The sequence below is a fragment of the Homo sapiens genome, chromosome 17, assembly GCF_000001405.40.
Source record: "Homo sapiens chromosome 17, GRCh38.p14 Primary Assembly".
NCBI classification, from domain to species: Eukaryota; Metazoa; Chordata; class Mammalia; order Primates; family Hominidae; genus Homo; species Homo sapiens.
Window position 1 is genome coordinate 58,205,441 of NC_000017.11, and position 13,851 is coordinate 58,219,291.

The following is a 13,851-nucleotide window of genomic DNA, read 5'->3' on the forward strand; positions in this document are numbered from 1 at the left end:
TCAAAATAAAAGGGGTTTATGTAACAAAAAACAAAAAAACAAACAAACAAAAAAACACAGTAAAAGATACCACCCAGCTAGCAGAAAGGACTCAGCACTGCCTTCAGCCTTCACTTACTCAGAAATAACTCATATCTCAACCTCAGCAAGCCCCAAGCAGTAGAATGAGGCTTCCCTGGAAAGAGGCTGAGACTCACAGGCTGGGGATTTAAGACCCTCTCACCGTCCACCTTCCTTCCTTCTTTGGTCTTGGAAGATGAAAGGCTCCATTTTTAAAGGGTGGAGAACAGCAGATCCCCTGCTACTGTGAGACAAGCCAGAAAAGTGAGTCAAGGCCAGACTCACTATGGGGTCACCCCAAACAGCTTCAGATCAAAAAGCCTGCCTTGCTGTGATGCCCATTGACAGTGGCTGCAAATATAAAGGGGGGGCCACAGGGTCTCTGGCTTTATTTCCACAGGGTAGGGAGAAGACCCTGCAGAAGGCTAGGCAGAGGGGCCAGCCGGGAATTTCCCAGCTTTTCTGGTTCTCAGCAGACCAACGTGGTCTCTAATCAGAAAGACGAAGAGGCAGGAGAGCACTGGCCTCAGATATCCCCCATCTTGTCCTCTTGCACTGTGGGCCAGGGCTGCTGTGAGCTAGGAGACCAGGGTTCCAGAGGGGCTCACTAGGTCCTGCGGGAGGCTTTCCCGGGCCTCCTGCATGCGGCGCCGGGCTCGACGGAAGGCCTCTGTAAGGAAAGGAGATATGCTATTTGGCTGCCATATGGTATTTCTCTCTGCACTGCAGAGAGAAACAGGCCCATGCTGACCTGGGGTGGCCAGCTGGGGGAGGGGACATACCTAGCACATTGTGAATGGAACTCTGCTGGCTGAACCCTTCCAGACGGTCCAACACACTCCGCATCCTTTTCTGAAGGGAGCTCGATTCCATGAAGGCCCTGCAGGGAGGCCAGCCACATGGTTACGGCTGTCTCCACCCCTCAGGGCTAAGGTGCCCTGAGGCAGAGGGCCAAGTCACTCACCTGGACTGCTGCAGACAGTGCAAGCGGAAGGTGACAGTGCCTGTGGTCTCTGTGCGGAGTCCAAAGCGGCTCAGGCGTTCCCCCTGTGGCATGCCATTGGGACAGCCTCAGGTTTCTGCTCTCTCTAGACACCCCCGCACCATGCTGGCCTCACCCCCATTCTTATTCCCATTCTTGGGAAGCGCAGTTCTGTTGGGGAAACCTTATTCCATCACCCAGACTCTATTACCTCAAGGCTAATACTGGGCTATTGGGCTCCCCCAACTAAACCAGGGAACATTCCAACCTCATTTGAGAAGCGGCGGTCTTATATGCTTACTGTGAATCCTCCCCACATCTGATTACTGAGGCCTTCAGTGATGGGGGAAAGAGCCAGTTATTCTGATGGGAACCAGGGGAAATCTCTAATTATACTATTTTCCAGAGACCTCCTACGATAGCAGTGTAGATATTGGAACCTGATTCAAAATGTGGTCATGACTTCCAGCTTAAGCCACAGGAAGGAAGGGGTTAATACTGAAGCAATGCACAACTAAGGGGTCTTGACCCAGATCCCACCTCCTACAGAAGGACAGGACCATAAGTTCTCAGCGTGAAGTCACTCCAAAGACAAAAGTCACCTTGAAGGATCCTGGTATCCGTACATAGGAGAGGTCCTCCAGTTCCAGAGAACCGCCAATGAAAAACCTCCTCAGCTCAGCCACCGTGCCAAGCTCCACAGGTCTCCACGTGGAGACTGTCAGGGTGTGTGAGCCTGCGCAAGGGAAGAGAAGACTGGGGCCAGGTCCAGAAAGGGCATGTGGCCCCTCACTGACTCCCCAGCAATGACACAGGCCTAGACTCAGCTAAAACACCTGGTCTGGTGATGACCTGGCCTCTGGTGCAGGTTATCATGGTTACCCATAGCACCTGTATGGAAATCAATCAGGGAGAAATTCAAATTTCCGCTCTGCCAGTTATTACCTGCATACCCAGGACAGGTTTCTTAACCTCTCTGAAGCTCATTCTCCTCATCTAGTAAAATGGAAATAATACCACCTGCACCTCACAGAGTGACTGGGAGAATTAAGTGAGAAGTATGGCACAATGCCTGGCACACAGTAAAAGACAGATGCTTTTATTCCAAACTGAATGCTGATTCATTCAATACACATATGCTATGAGCCAATTTTGCCATACAGCTTCTCACCCTGAGTCCAATCAGAGGAGCATGAAGCACATGGAGAGACTGTCAGGAAGTCAGTGCCAAGGCCACGTCATTGTCGCTAATGGAGGGGGGCAGAAAGTCCTCAGAGGAACAGGAACTCTTTCAAGCCAAACATTTCCAATTCCCAATTATCTCCACCCCTCACCAGAAGCATTCGAGTGTTAGTCTTGTTCTTAGGGCCTAGGGCATGTGGGCCACAGAAGGGCAGAGACGAGCGGTTACCTGGAGTGGCAGGCAGCACCACAGCCCCATAGCCTTCCACACGGTACCTCTGCCAGAAGTCCAGCGAGAGGACCTCACAGTAGAGCACAGGCCACTCCGGGAGTGCATCTGGGAGCAAGGAGAGAAGCGGCCAGGTCACAGGCGGCCTTCACCAAGAGACAGCACTGCTTGAGGGGAACCAAGGCCCAGGATCAACTGCTGAGCTACTCACCAGAAGATTCATCCTCATGGAGGAAGAAGGCTTCAAACGTGAATGGGTAGGAGAAGTGAGCCACCTTGTCCTATAAAAAGGAGTGTCATAGGGTGGGCAAGGCCTCCCTTGGAATCTGTTCTCCTTGTGGCCAATGACAAGGTTATCTTCACAAGGGAAAAAGAAAAATTATCACCCAGGTGGGAAATAGGAGTCTGAGATGCAAAAGGACACCCAAATACAAGCTGCTGCCATGCTCAAAAAGACAGACAGGATCTCCGGACCAGGTGGCCCTGTAGAACCCACACACAAGTCACCCAACTCTGGAATCCTCCCCAGGGCGCACAGCACTTGGCCTGATAAAACCTCAAATGCCATCCCAGGAGCAGATCTCATTCCCTTCCAGATACCCGCTCTCATTCTCCATACCATTGCCAGGGACTTGGTGGTGCAGGTCTGTGTTACTCCTGAGAGCTGCTGGAATGCTGGGCTTGACCAGTCTGAAAGCCAAAGACCAAATATAGTAAGCTCGCCTGGGAGGAAAGCAAGTCATTCAGAAAAAGACAGTTTCTTTTTTCTTTTCTTTTTTTTTTTTGTATTTATTGATCATTCTTGGGTGTTTCTCGGAGAGGGGGATGTGGCAGGGTCATAGGATAATAGTGGAGAGAAGGTCAGCAGATAAACACGTGAACAAAGGTCTCTGGTTCTCCTAGGCAGAGGTCCCTGCGGCCTTCCACAGTGTTTGTGTCCCTGGGTACTTGAGATTAGGGAGTGGTGATGACTCTTAAGGAGCATGCTGCCTTCAAGCACCTGTTTAACAAAGCACATCTTGCACCGCCCTTAATCCATTTAACCTTGAGTTGACACAGCACATGTTTCAGAGAGCACGGGGTTGGGGGTAAGGTTATAGATTAACAGCATCCCAAGGCAGAAGAATTTTTCTTAGTACAGAACAAAATGGAGTCTCCTATGTCTACTTCTTTCTACACAGACACAGTAACAATCTGATCTCTCTTTCTTTTCCCCACATTTCCCCCTTTTCTTTTTGACAAAACCGCCATCGTCATCATGGCCCATTCTCAATGGTCGCTGTCTCTTCGGAGCTGTTGGGTACACCTCCCAGATGGGGCGGCCGGGCAGAGGCGCTCCTCACTTCCCAGACGGGGCGGACAGTTTCTTTATTCATTTATTCACACAATCAATCATTCATTTACCATTTACTGAGTGCCTGCTATGTGCTAGTATATCTTAGGGGTATCTTGGTAACTAGATAGAAAAGATCCCCATCTCTCATGGAGCTGACATTCTGGGGGAAGCAGGGAGACAGACAAAAACCAAACCAACAAGAGACTATTGGGTAGTGATGAGTGCTATACTAAAAACAAAACGGGGAAGGGACTGAGTGATTGGGAGGCTCATTTAGACTGGGTGGTAAGAGAAGGCCTCTCAGAGGCGACACAGGCTGAGACCTAAACTCAGAAAGAACCAGCCATGCTAAGATATGGCAGAAAGGGTTTCAGACAAAGGAAACGGCCCTTAAAAGGCTACAAGGTGGGAATGAACCTGGCTGGGAAGAATGACTGGAAGGTTGTATGGAAGAGATAGGCAGGGGCCAGCTCATTCAGGGTATCAAGTTTACATTTTACTCTAAGTGGGAGGGGAAGCTGTTGGGGTTTTCAGCTCAAAAGGGACATAACTTGTTTACATTTTTTAAAGCTCAACTTGGCTTTGGTGTCTGTGGCAAATCAACGGCAAATGGGAGCAAGGCAGGAAGCAGGGGGATACATCAGAAGTTGAATGCACTGGCCTAGACAAGAGATGGTGGTGGCTTGGTGTAGGGTGCTGGAGAGAACAAATAGGTTCACAACAGCTTTTGAAGACAGAACGGACAGGAACTGTTGACAGATTGGCTGGCTATAGGGAGCTAGGGAAAGTGAGGGATCAAGGATGTTCCCTAGGTTTTTGGCATCAACAACTCAGTAGATGACACTGCCATTCTGTTAGGATGGGGAAGACCAGGGAGGAGAGGTTTGAGGGAAGAGGAGGAATCAAGAGTTCTTTTTGGTCATGTTAGACAGAAATGACAAAAGAGGTAACTGGATATGAGTCTGGAGTCCAGGGAAAAGGTTAAGGCTAGAGGCAGAAACCTGGGAGTCTGAGACGTATTGATGGTATTTAAGCCATAGGATGGATGACGTTGCCCAGGAAGACTGCAGACAGAGAGTAACAGAAGGCCTTGGCTTAGCTGTGGGTACTCTCACGGTTTAAGATCAACAGAAGGGAAGGCATCACCCAAGAAGGATGAGGGGCCACCAGCGAGATAGGAGAGAGAAGTGTGGAGCCAGAAGCCAGAGAAGTGTGTCATGCAGCACAGTGGGCTCTGGAAAATGCTTCAGGAAGGTCAAGCGAGGTGAAAGCAGGGAAGTCTCCACTGGGTTTGGTAAAGTGGATGTGATCTATGACCTTGAAAAGAACAGTAACAGTTTCAGCAGAGGAGTGGGAAAGGAAGCCTGACCAAATGCCTCTAGATCTGTCTGAATGGGTATAAAAGGAGAGACTTAAGAATATTACTTACGAGCAGTTGGCAATTCTACAAAGAAGTGGACGTAGAGATTGTCATACTCATAGCCTTGGGCTGAAACTACGAGAGAAAACAGGAAGCTATTTTAGCTTTTTCTCCTACCACCCTTAGCACCCAACCCAATCCTGAGGGGCCTACACACCCTGAGAGCAAGTCTTTTGAGGGCCAGGAACCCTCTGCGTTTCCAGGAAAGACTCACCACTGAGTTTCCCAAGTACAGCAGACAAGGCCTCTACCAGAGTGGAGGAGACTATTCACAGCTCCATCTAGGCACGTGCCTAAGCATCAAGAGATCTATGCTAGCAAGACACTTACCGACCTCTCCATTTACAAAGAGCCGGAGGGCACCTGGGACAGTCTAAGGTGAAGAGAAGTGGGAAAGGATCAGCAGGCCTGGAGGGAATTGGCACTTCTCCTCCAGCCCCATCTACAAATCTGCAGACGACCTGCCACTAGGGGTCAGGCCCTGGGTGTCACTACTGCACTTTCTCCCCACCCTGACACTTCTCCACAGATCTGTTTCCTTCATTCCTAAGATTCACAATGTAGGGGGAAAGTACATAATTTAAATGGCAGTGAGGACAATGCACTATGGGAAATTATTCAAGCAACAGCAACTGTCCTGTGGTGTGCAATGGGAAGCCAGAACGCCCTCTTCCCTTTAGATGGCTGAGGTCAAGAAACCAGGGAGTTTTCTTTTTTAATTATTTGTGCATGTCTTATCTAACTTTTAAATACTGAATATCTGTTGCTTATGCAATATGGAAATAGTGAAGGTTAATTTTTCAGAGAAAGAGAGGGAGACCAGGAAGTAATTCTATCCTTGTTTCCAGGTCTAGAGATAGAACTCTTAGAATGAGAAAAGACAAAGAACAGCACAACAGAATAGCTGAACTAAACCACTTTCTTTTTTTTTCAGACAGGGTCTTGATCTGTTGTCCAGGCTGGAATGCAGTGGTGTGATCATAGCTCAATGCAAACTCAAACTTCTAGGCTCAAGCAATCCTGCTGCCTCAGCATCATGAGTAGCTGGGACTACAGGTATGTATCACCATGCCTTGCTAATTTTTTTTTTTTTTTTTGTAGGGATGTGGTCTCACTATGTTGCCCAGGCTGCTCTCAAACTCCTGGCTTCAAGTGATCCTCCCACCTTGGCCTCACAAAGTGCTGGGATTATAGTCATGCGCCACCGCATCAGGCCTATATTTTTTAAGAGCCAAAATATGTGACAAACAGAAATGGCACCCCTGCCTCTCTATGGGGTATTTTGAAAAAATATCCACATGAAAGGTGAAGAAGACATTTTTCATCCTTATATTTATTTTTTAAATTAATTATAAAGTAATACCTAAATACATTACAACTGATAAAAATTCAAAGCTACCTAAGTTTAGGGAATAAAAAGCAAAAATCCCTAATATATCCCTCTCACCACCCACTACCCTTCTACCACATCTAATCCCACCCTCCCCAGAGAAAGCCACCCACAGCATGTGCATAGCCTTTCAGACCTTTTTCTTAGCATTAACAGTTCTCTATCAACATGCAATGTTGCAAAACACATAACAAGGACTATATGTGCTATTCTTTGACTTCCTTTTCACACTGTAGAGTATACCTTTGGGCCTTTAAGAGAGGTAGTGTAACTCATCCACAGTCAGAATGCTCCGGCTAAACACAGCTCACAGTGCTGCAGGAAGCCAAGCTACTCACCATCTCAAAGTCGGTGCCTACGAGGCTGCTGAGATACTCCTTGTGCCGGCCATAAAGCTGAGGAAACAAACCAAACCAAAACTCAAGATGCAACCCAAGCTAGACCAAAGTTCAGTTCTGAATGGGAAGAAGAAAAGCAATAGTGGGAAGGGTCAGCAAGAGCTGGAGGCGTAAGCACCTGACTCACCGCCATTTTACCGTGAAGCAGAGGCCCTGGAGTCAGCTGGTCTGGGGCAGAATCCTGACTCTCGCCCTTACAAGCTATGCCACCTTGGGCAGACTACTTAGCTCCTCAATCTCGGTTTCCCCACTTATAAGGTGGTAATAAGTGTTCACCTCAAAGGGTTGTTGTAAAGACTAAAGGAAATAAGGTATGTAAAGTACCTAGCACAGAACATGGTAAATGCTCAAATAAATGGTTATTGTTATTATTATAATATGATCAAAAACTTCTGTCTGATATGTCAGCAATGCTGCCTAAGTCAGAAGGGGCCATGAAGGGCAAGGCTTTTCCCGAGCAACTGCTGACATCAAGTTCAGAAATGGTCTCAGCTCCAGGCACTGAGGCTCATCCCTTGGATACTTGGAATGAACTTGCGCTTACATCCTTGAACACTCGCCGTTCCCGCTCCTCCTCCTCCGGCTGTGCGTGGGGGGAAACATTGTCGATCGTATATTTCCACAGCTCCTGCTTCTCCCCCTCCGTCTCAATCCTGTAAGGTCAAAACCACAGAAAGGAGCAACTCTAATAATGAGAGATGGGCCCTGGGATAGCTCCCAGCCCAGGGATGAGCGATCAGGGGCCATACACCTCACTAAAGTATATGATGATAAAAGTGGCTGTATTGACGACCAGGAGAGAGAAACAAAAGGGTAAAGCAGAGAGGGCACCAGACTAGACTCAGAAAGTATAGGTTCTGGGCCCATTTCTGGCTTGAAGTTACAGTCAAACTGTAAGGCACAACATTCCTGCCACCCAGTTCTCTCACCTGAAAAATGGACAGGTTGGGCCAGATAATTTCTAATTTACATTTCTGTCATTTCCAAGATACAGAGATGAGGAACAGTCAGCCCACAGGAAAAGCCTGGCTGAGTTCACCCCACTCTGTTCTGGTCAGGTCCTACATTCAGCAGCACAGAGAATCACTGTCATTTAACTGTACCACTGAAGTGATCCCTTTCAAATTGGTGCAGTTGCACATTTTCTGAGAAAGGAGTCCCTGGTTTTCTAAGGCCCTATGACTTGGAACAGAATACGAACCATTGCCTGGGAATGTAAAAGTTAGAACAGATGAAGGACTTTCTGACAGTCTAGTTGACTAGGGACAAAAAGTGCAACCAAGGGAAGGAATGCCAGTCTCCACTACCCCTTTCTTCCTCTCCTCACCTGTAGGGTCCTTTGAGGCCCGTGAAGTCAGGCTTTACTGTGATCACACCATTGCTATCCACCTTCAGAGTACACAGGACATGTTCATACTTCTTATAGCCAAGCCTAGAAATCAGGAAAACACCAAGGTTGAGGTCAATGGTCCTTCAGGGAAACAAGAAGAGATACTGAGCCCACTGCAGGGGAGAGAACAGAGGCTATAGGGAGAGCTGTCATGGTAAAACTTTCTTCCAAGTACAACTAAGAAAAAAAAGGAAGAAAAAGTCCCTTCCTCTCCTATAACCCAGGATGATAACAGGAAGGGGATAGCTGGTGAGAGGAGAAGAAGATGAGGATCTGAGTTGGCAGTGAGAAGCTTCACTCATAACTAAGAAGAGAAGGAAGAAAAAGTCCCTCCCTCCCCTATAACCTAGGATGATAATAACAGGAAGGGGAGAGCTGGTGAGAGGAGAAAAGGATGAGGCTCTAAGCTGGCAGTGAGAAGCGCCACTCACTTTTTATAGGGCCCCAGGTCTGCCATGATGTGCATTGTCTGAAGAGGGGTGTTAATGACGTGGTTGTTCCTGACAAACTCTTCTGAGGGCTCCCAGGTGACGATGCGTGACTTGAGGATGCCGCCCTCCCTGGGAGACACCACAGAAAGGTCACTTCCCTGGCACACCCCAATGGAGCACCCCAGTGGAGAGCCACTTCAGAATGGGAAGTTTGAGCTAGTGGACATACTGTTTTGTTTTGTTTTTTAAGAGCCAAAATATTTGACAAACAGAAATGACATCCCTTCCCTCTCTCTGAGGCACTTTGGAAAAATGTCCACATGAAGAGTGAGGAAGATATTTTATATTTTTATATTTATTTTTTAAATTAATTACAAAGTAATACTTGAATACTATATATAACCACTGATAAAAATGCAAAACTACCCAACTTTAGGAAATAAAAAGTAAAAGCTTGTCCCCCATCCCATGCCCGCACTCACATCCCTCGCCTGTCCTGCCGGCGACGCCTGACATTTGCCATTCGCTCGACCAAGAATGAAGGCACCTCGCTGGCTGCAGTGGTCATTCTCTGACAGTGCTGGGAAAAGCAAGCAGCCCTGTGTACGCCATCTGGTCAGGGCCACATGGAGCCAAGTACCTGAAGGGAAGTCTTCCTCCTGAAACCTCATCCAGGACCTGAACCCCACAGGTTCCGCCACCTCACAATTATACATGCTAACGGAGGGAGCAGTAGCCAAACAACCCAAAGAAGATTTCTACCACATCATGGTTTGCCTTTGGATTTTAAAAAGGAGTTATTTATGTTAATATTAAAATCAGTCTGCATTCTCTGAGCACAAACCAACAAAAAGTTGGGTTAGTGTGCTTGGTAGATGTTGAAGTTAACAAGGTGGTTAGAAAATGCCAAATGGGATACAAGCATTTTGTGGGAAATCCTCACATGGTAACTGAGCACTAACTGCATTTTCATTTGCTTTTCCAAAACAGACAACCCAAATTTTATTTAATTTATATATTTTTTTAAGAGACAGGGTCTCACCCAGGCTGCAGTGCAGTGGTGCTATCATAGCTCACTGCAACCTTGAACTCCTTGGCTCAAGTGATCCTCCCGCCTCAGCTTCCCACGTAGCCGGGACTACAGGTACATGCCACCATGCCCAGCTAATGTTATCAATCCACAGCTCTAATAATGAAAGCACGTCAATCTTTCAAAAACATTTATTGAATACCTGTTCCTTGCAGAGACCTACAGAGTCATAGACAAAAATAAAAAAAATAGGCTCTACCCTCGAGGAGCTTAAAATCTTACTGAGAAGACAGAAGCAACTGAAATGCAGTGACTGAAGAAAATGTAAAACAAGGTCACAAGGGTATTTTTGTCATAGGCAAATTGAGGACATAAGCCATTTTCCATAGCTATACTGAATTCCTCTTCAAACCCATATACTCAGAGTTTGGGCTGAATCCCCTGATGAATTTTATCTATATTGTTCCAGACTCCACTACCTGTCTTTTTTCATGATGCATGGAGGAAGTCAAGCCCAGTGGTTACTTCTCCCAGTATGCACTCTGCAAGCATATAATCAGAGATACTGGCAGCTCCCCCAGGCCCTCTAGCAGGCAGAGAAGGGAGCAGCAGCCTCACCACCTGTAGACTGTGCCCATTCTATTCCAGGCTGGCTGCCAGCAGCAGCAGCTCACAGCAGTTCCTAGACAGGCTACTTGTCTCCCCTTACTAGGCTCTGACATAACACACAGAACTCAGTGAGGCAAAAAAGCTAGAGGAAGCAAAGATGGAAGCTATGAGACCCTAGAAAGAACAATACCTCCTCCAAATTGGTGTATCTATCAGAGTCAGTGTAGGTAAAGATTCGTCGGTTTTTCTTGCCACCCGAATTCTCCAGCTTCAGGATCTCCTGACGGTACTGATAATCCAAAGGACTCTGACAGGCTGTTTCATTTTGGTACAGATCTACTTCAAACTGAGGTTACCATAAGGAAACAGAGATGTGTACATCATTATAATACATCAAACTTTTGCTTCTGTAACTGTTTAATCAAATCAGTTCTACAGAACTGATGCTATCTGACATGTTTTCATAACCAACACTAAACTAATGAATGGCAGGGGAACCAAGAACATTAGAGCTAAAAGGAACCAGACTGATAGTCTAATCCAAGTCTGCTATTACAGATGGCATATAGCCCAGAGATGAAAAGTTCCTCACCCAGAATCACAAAACTGAGTAGTGGCAATCCCTATGTTACAATGCCCTTTAAACACAACAGGGGAAAGTATAAACTGTTACAACCTGTCTGGAAATCACTTTGGCAATATGTATCACCAGCCATGTGGAGGTAGACCAGATGGAATAGACAGAGAAGACAAGAGACACTGGCTCACCTGGCTAAAGAGCTTCTCCTGCCACCCAATCACAATCTCCTCCTCTTCGTCTTCCTCTGGGCGGTGTCCACCTCCAAAGACAACAGAGTGAATCAAATGCTTGAGCCAAACCAGCACCACTTCTTGTTCTGTGGTTTATTATAACCAAAGTCCCTATTCTTATATTTGCCACAAAAACTAGCTGGAATTCAGCAATTTAGTAAGCACTCAACCTAGAGAAATGCTAGAGAGGCTGTATATGAGAGTTAGTATGAGTAGAAGCCAAGATTAGAACCCAGGAAGTCTTAGTCATGACTCTAATTTGAATAAAAGAAAATACCCCCCAGGAATTTTTTTCTGGGGGGGATGGAGTCTCACTCTGTCACCCAAGCTGGAGTGCAGTGGCACTGTTTCAGCTCACTGCAACCTCCTCTTCCTGGGTTCAAGCGATTCTCCTGCCTCAGCCTCCCAAGTAGCTGGGATTACAGGCACACACCACCAACCCAGCTAATTTTTGTATTATCAGTAGAGATGGAGTTTTGCCATGTTAGCCAGGCTGATCTTGAATTCCCGACCTCAGGTGATCCACCTGCCTTGGTCTCCCAAAGTGCTGGGATTACAGGCGTGGGCCACGGCGCTCAGCCCGCTCCAGGAAATATCTAATCTAACTGGATATAAGAAACTGAAATTTAGATATAAGCTGAATAGCCAGCCCTTCCTCAGTCCCAACTGTCTGCATTTGCTAGAAAATAACCCTGGCATTTTTATCTTTACTATTTCTAAAGCCATATATGTAGAATCACAAACACTGAAATTTAGGAGACCAAGTGTAAGGAGAGGACAGTGAAGGCAAATAAATGATTTTTTAACAGAACCAAATCTGGCTGAATGCAGTGACTCACGCCTGTAATCCCAACATTTTGGGAGGCTAAGGTGGGAGGATCACTTGGGCCCAGGAATTTGAAACCAGCCTGGACAACATAGCAAGACCTTTTCTCTACTAAAACTTTAAAAAAAAATAAACTGAGTGTGAGTCTGTAGTCCCAGCTAGTTGGGAGGCTGAGGCAGGAGGATGGCTTGAGCCTGGGAGACCAAGGTTTACAGTGAGCTATGATCATACCACTGCACTCCAGCCTGAGCAGAAGAATGAGATTCTGTCTCAAAACAAAACGAAAACAAAAACAAAGAAAACAAATCTAATCTAATACACTCTTGGGTATGCCTTTTTCAGAGACACGTTTCACAACCTGTGAGCCCACACTCTTGCCCAGGAACAGCTCTGAACAGAAAGAGAAACAATAAAAGCAAACAGACTAGTGACCTGACAACAACCACTCTGTCCTCTCCTCCTCATTCTTTTGGTTTCCCAGATAAGGAAAACCACAAGAACACAGTTGATCTATACATGCACATCATATGCAGATTTTGCAAGCAGTCTCCAGTTTAAAAATTGTTTTTAAAAGTGTTTATATGTGTATTTAGGGTTTGGGGCACGTTTTCTCTTTTAAAAATGCCACAAATAGGACGGGCGCGGTGGCTCACGCCTGTAATCCCAGCACTTTGGGAGGCCAAGGCGGGCGGATCACGAGGTCAGGAGATCGAGACAATCCTGGCTAACACGGTGAAACCCCGCCTCTACTGAAAATACAAAAAATTAGCCGGGCGTGGTGGCGGGCGCCTGTAGTCCCAGCTACTCGGGAGGCTGAGGCAGGAGAATCGCGTGAACCCGGGAGGCGGAGCTTGCAGTGAGCGGAGATAGCGACACTGCACTTCAGCCTGGGGGAAAGAGCAAGACTCCGTCTCAAAAAAAAAAAAAAAAAAAAAAAAAAAAAAAAAGCCACAAATAGAATGTAGGTTGCCGGGCAACTCTATAACATATCAGAAGTATAGTATTTGTTATCTCACTACATTTGGCCACAATTCTGATTAGTATCATAATTAGTATTAGATGGCACATCACCACCGTAACACCCACTGGCAGTTGGCTGAGGCCTAAAAGTGGCCAAGTCTATGAGGTCCTTCCCGAGCTCGGCAGCAGGCTGATAATGAAGAAAGTTGCTTGATGTGATTCTTTGCAGGTGGACTCTGTCAAGAAAAGCCCAAAATATTCGTTACCAGACACGCAACCAGGAGATGAACACAAAGCAAGGATGGGGGAAACAAAACAGAGGAGGTAGGGTTGCCAAGGTGTGCTGGGTGCAGACAACGGAGAGGAGGTGGGTGGGTGCGCCGTCCTATGGGGAAGAATGAAGGGGAGAGGGTGTACTGGGGGCACAGGGCTTTGAGAAACTGGGAGCAACAAAGACGTGAATGGACTTGGGTAGGTCTGTAAGGGGTTCTTAGAGGCTGTGAGTGGATGGGGGTACGGATAGTGAAAGAAGTGGGGAGCCCGGAGAAGTGGTCGGGATTGTAAGCAGAAAGTGGGGACCTCAGAACACCGAGCTCAGGTTGGAATGATCTAAGGACACAAAAGCATGGGGCCTCGGGGCTGGGGCGGTGCGACTACCGGAGGCGCAAGTTGCGCACGGGGTCCCGGGAGCGATACACTGCCTCCCCGGTGTCAGTGCTCCAGACGGTCTCCGCCATGACAGCTGCGACGCGCCGCGACTGCGCCGGAAAGCGCGCCGCTCTGTTTTCCTGGCAACGG

At 47.2% G+C, this 13,851-nt stretch overlaps 1 protein-coding gene across 12 annotated transcripts, besides 2 other annotated features; it reads right to left on the reverse strand.

The window, feature by feature from the left end:
• On the reverse strand, positions 1-13,815 carry MKS1 (MKS transition zone complex subunit 1). 12 transcript variants are annotated; one of them, NM_017777.4, is made up of 18 exons: positions 13,711-13,815; positions 13,180-13,289; positions 11,226-11,296; positions 10,648-10,803; positions 9,301-9,398; positions 8,819-8,947; positions 8,325-8,429; positions 7,542-7,650; positions 6,938-6,994; positions 5,540-5,582; positions 5,219-5,284; positions 3,073-3,143; positions 2,665-2,734; positions 2,454-2,561; positions 1,645-1,778; positions 1,025-1,107; positions 843-940; positions 1-730 (listed from the first exon to the last, which is right to left on the reverse strand). In NM_017777.4, the coding sequence occupies exons 1-18, from the start codon at positions 13,788-13,790 to the stop codon at positions 639-641; spliced, it is 1,680 nt and encodes a 559-aa protein (NP_060247.2). In that variant the 5' UTR covers positions 13,791-13,815; the 3' UTR covers positions 1-638. The 12 variants fall into 12 exon arrangements, with proteins under 12 accessions (NP_060247.2, XP_011523260.1, NP_001308197.1 ...); XM_011524958.3 differs by having other exon boundaries at positions 11,226-11,305; NM_001321268.2 differs by lacking the exon at positions 9,301-9,398.
• Positions 3,219-3,720: an enhancer, noted in NCBI's record as "NANOG hESC enhancer chr17:56286020-56286521 (GRCh37/hg19 assembly coordinates)". NCBI's record gives its function as "activates a minimal SCP1, AML or CMV promoter by ChIP-STARR-seq in naive H9 embryonic stem cells {active_cell/tissue: H9 hESC(naive)}" and the evidence as "EXISTENCE:reporter gene assay evidence [ECO:0000049][PMID:30033119]".
• Positions 13,643-13,851: part of an enhancer, noted in NCBI's record as "active region_12461", that runs on past the window's edge. NCBI's record gives its function as "activates an Ori minimal core promoter by ATAC-STARR-seq in GM12878 lymphoblastoid cells {active_cell/tissue: GM12878}" and the evidence as "EXISTENCE:reporter gene assay evidence [ECO:0000049][PMID:35858748]".

Coding starts and splice junctions, on each gene's coding strand:
- MKS1 (XM_011524957.3), bottom strand. CDS start 13,790: ATGGCGGAGACCGTCTGGAGCACTGACACCGGGGAGGCAGTGTATCGC. Junction 3,144..5,218: donor TGTAGAATTGCCAACTGCTC/GTAAGTAATATT, acceptor TTTGGCTTTCAG/ACTGGTCAAGCCCAGCATTC. Junction 1,779..2,453: donor GGTGCTGCCTGCCACTCCAG/GTAACCGCTCGT, acceptor TCCCTTGCGCAG/GCTCACACACCCTGACAGTC.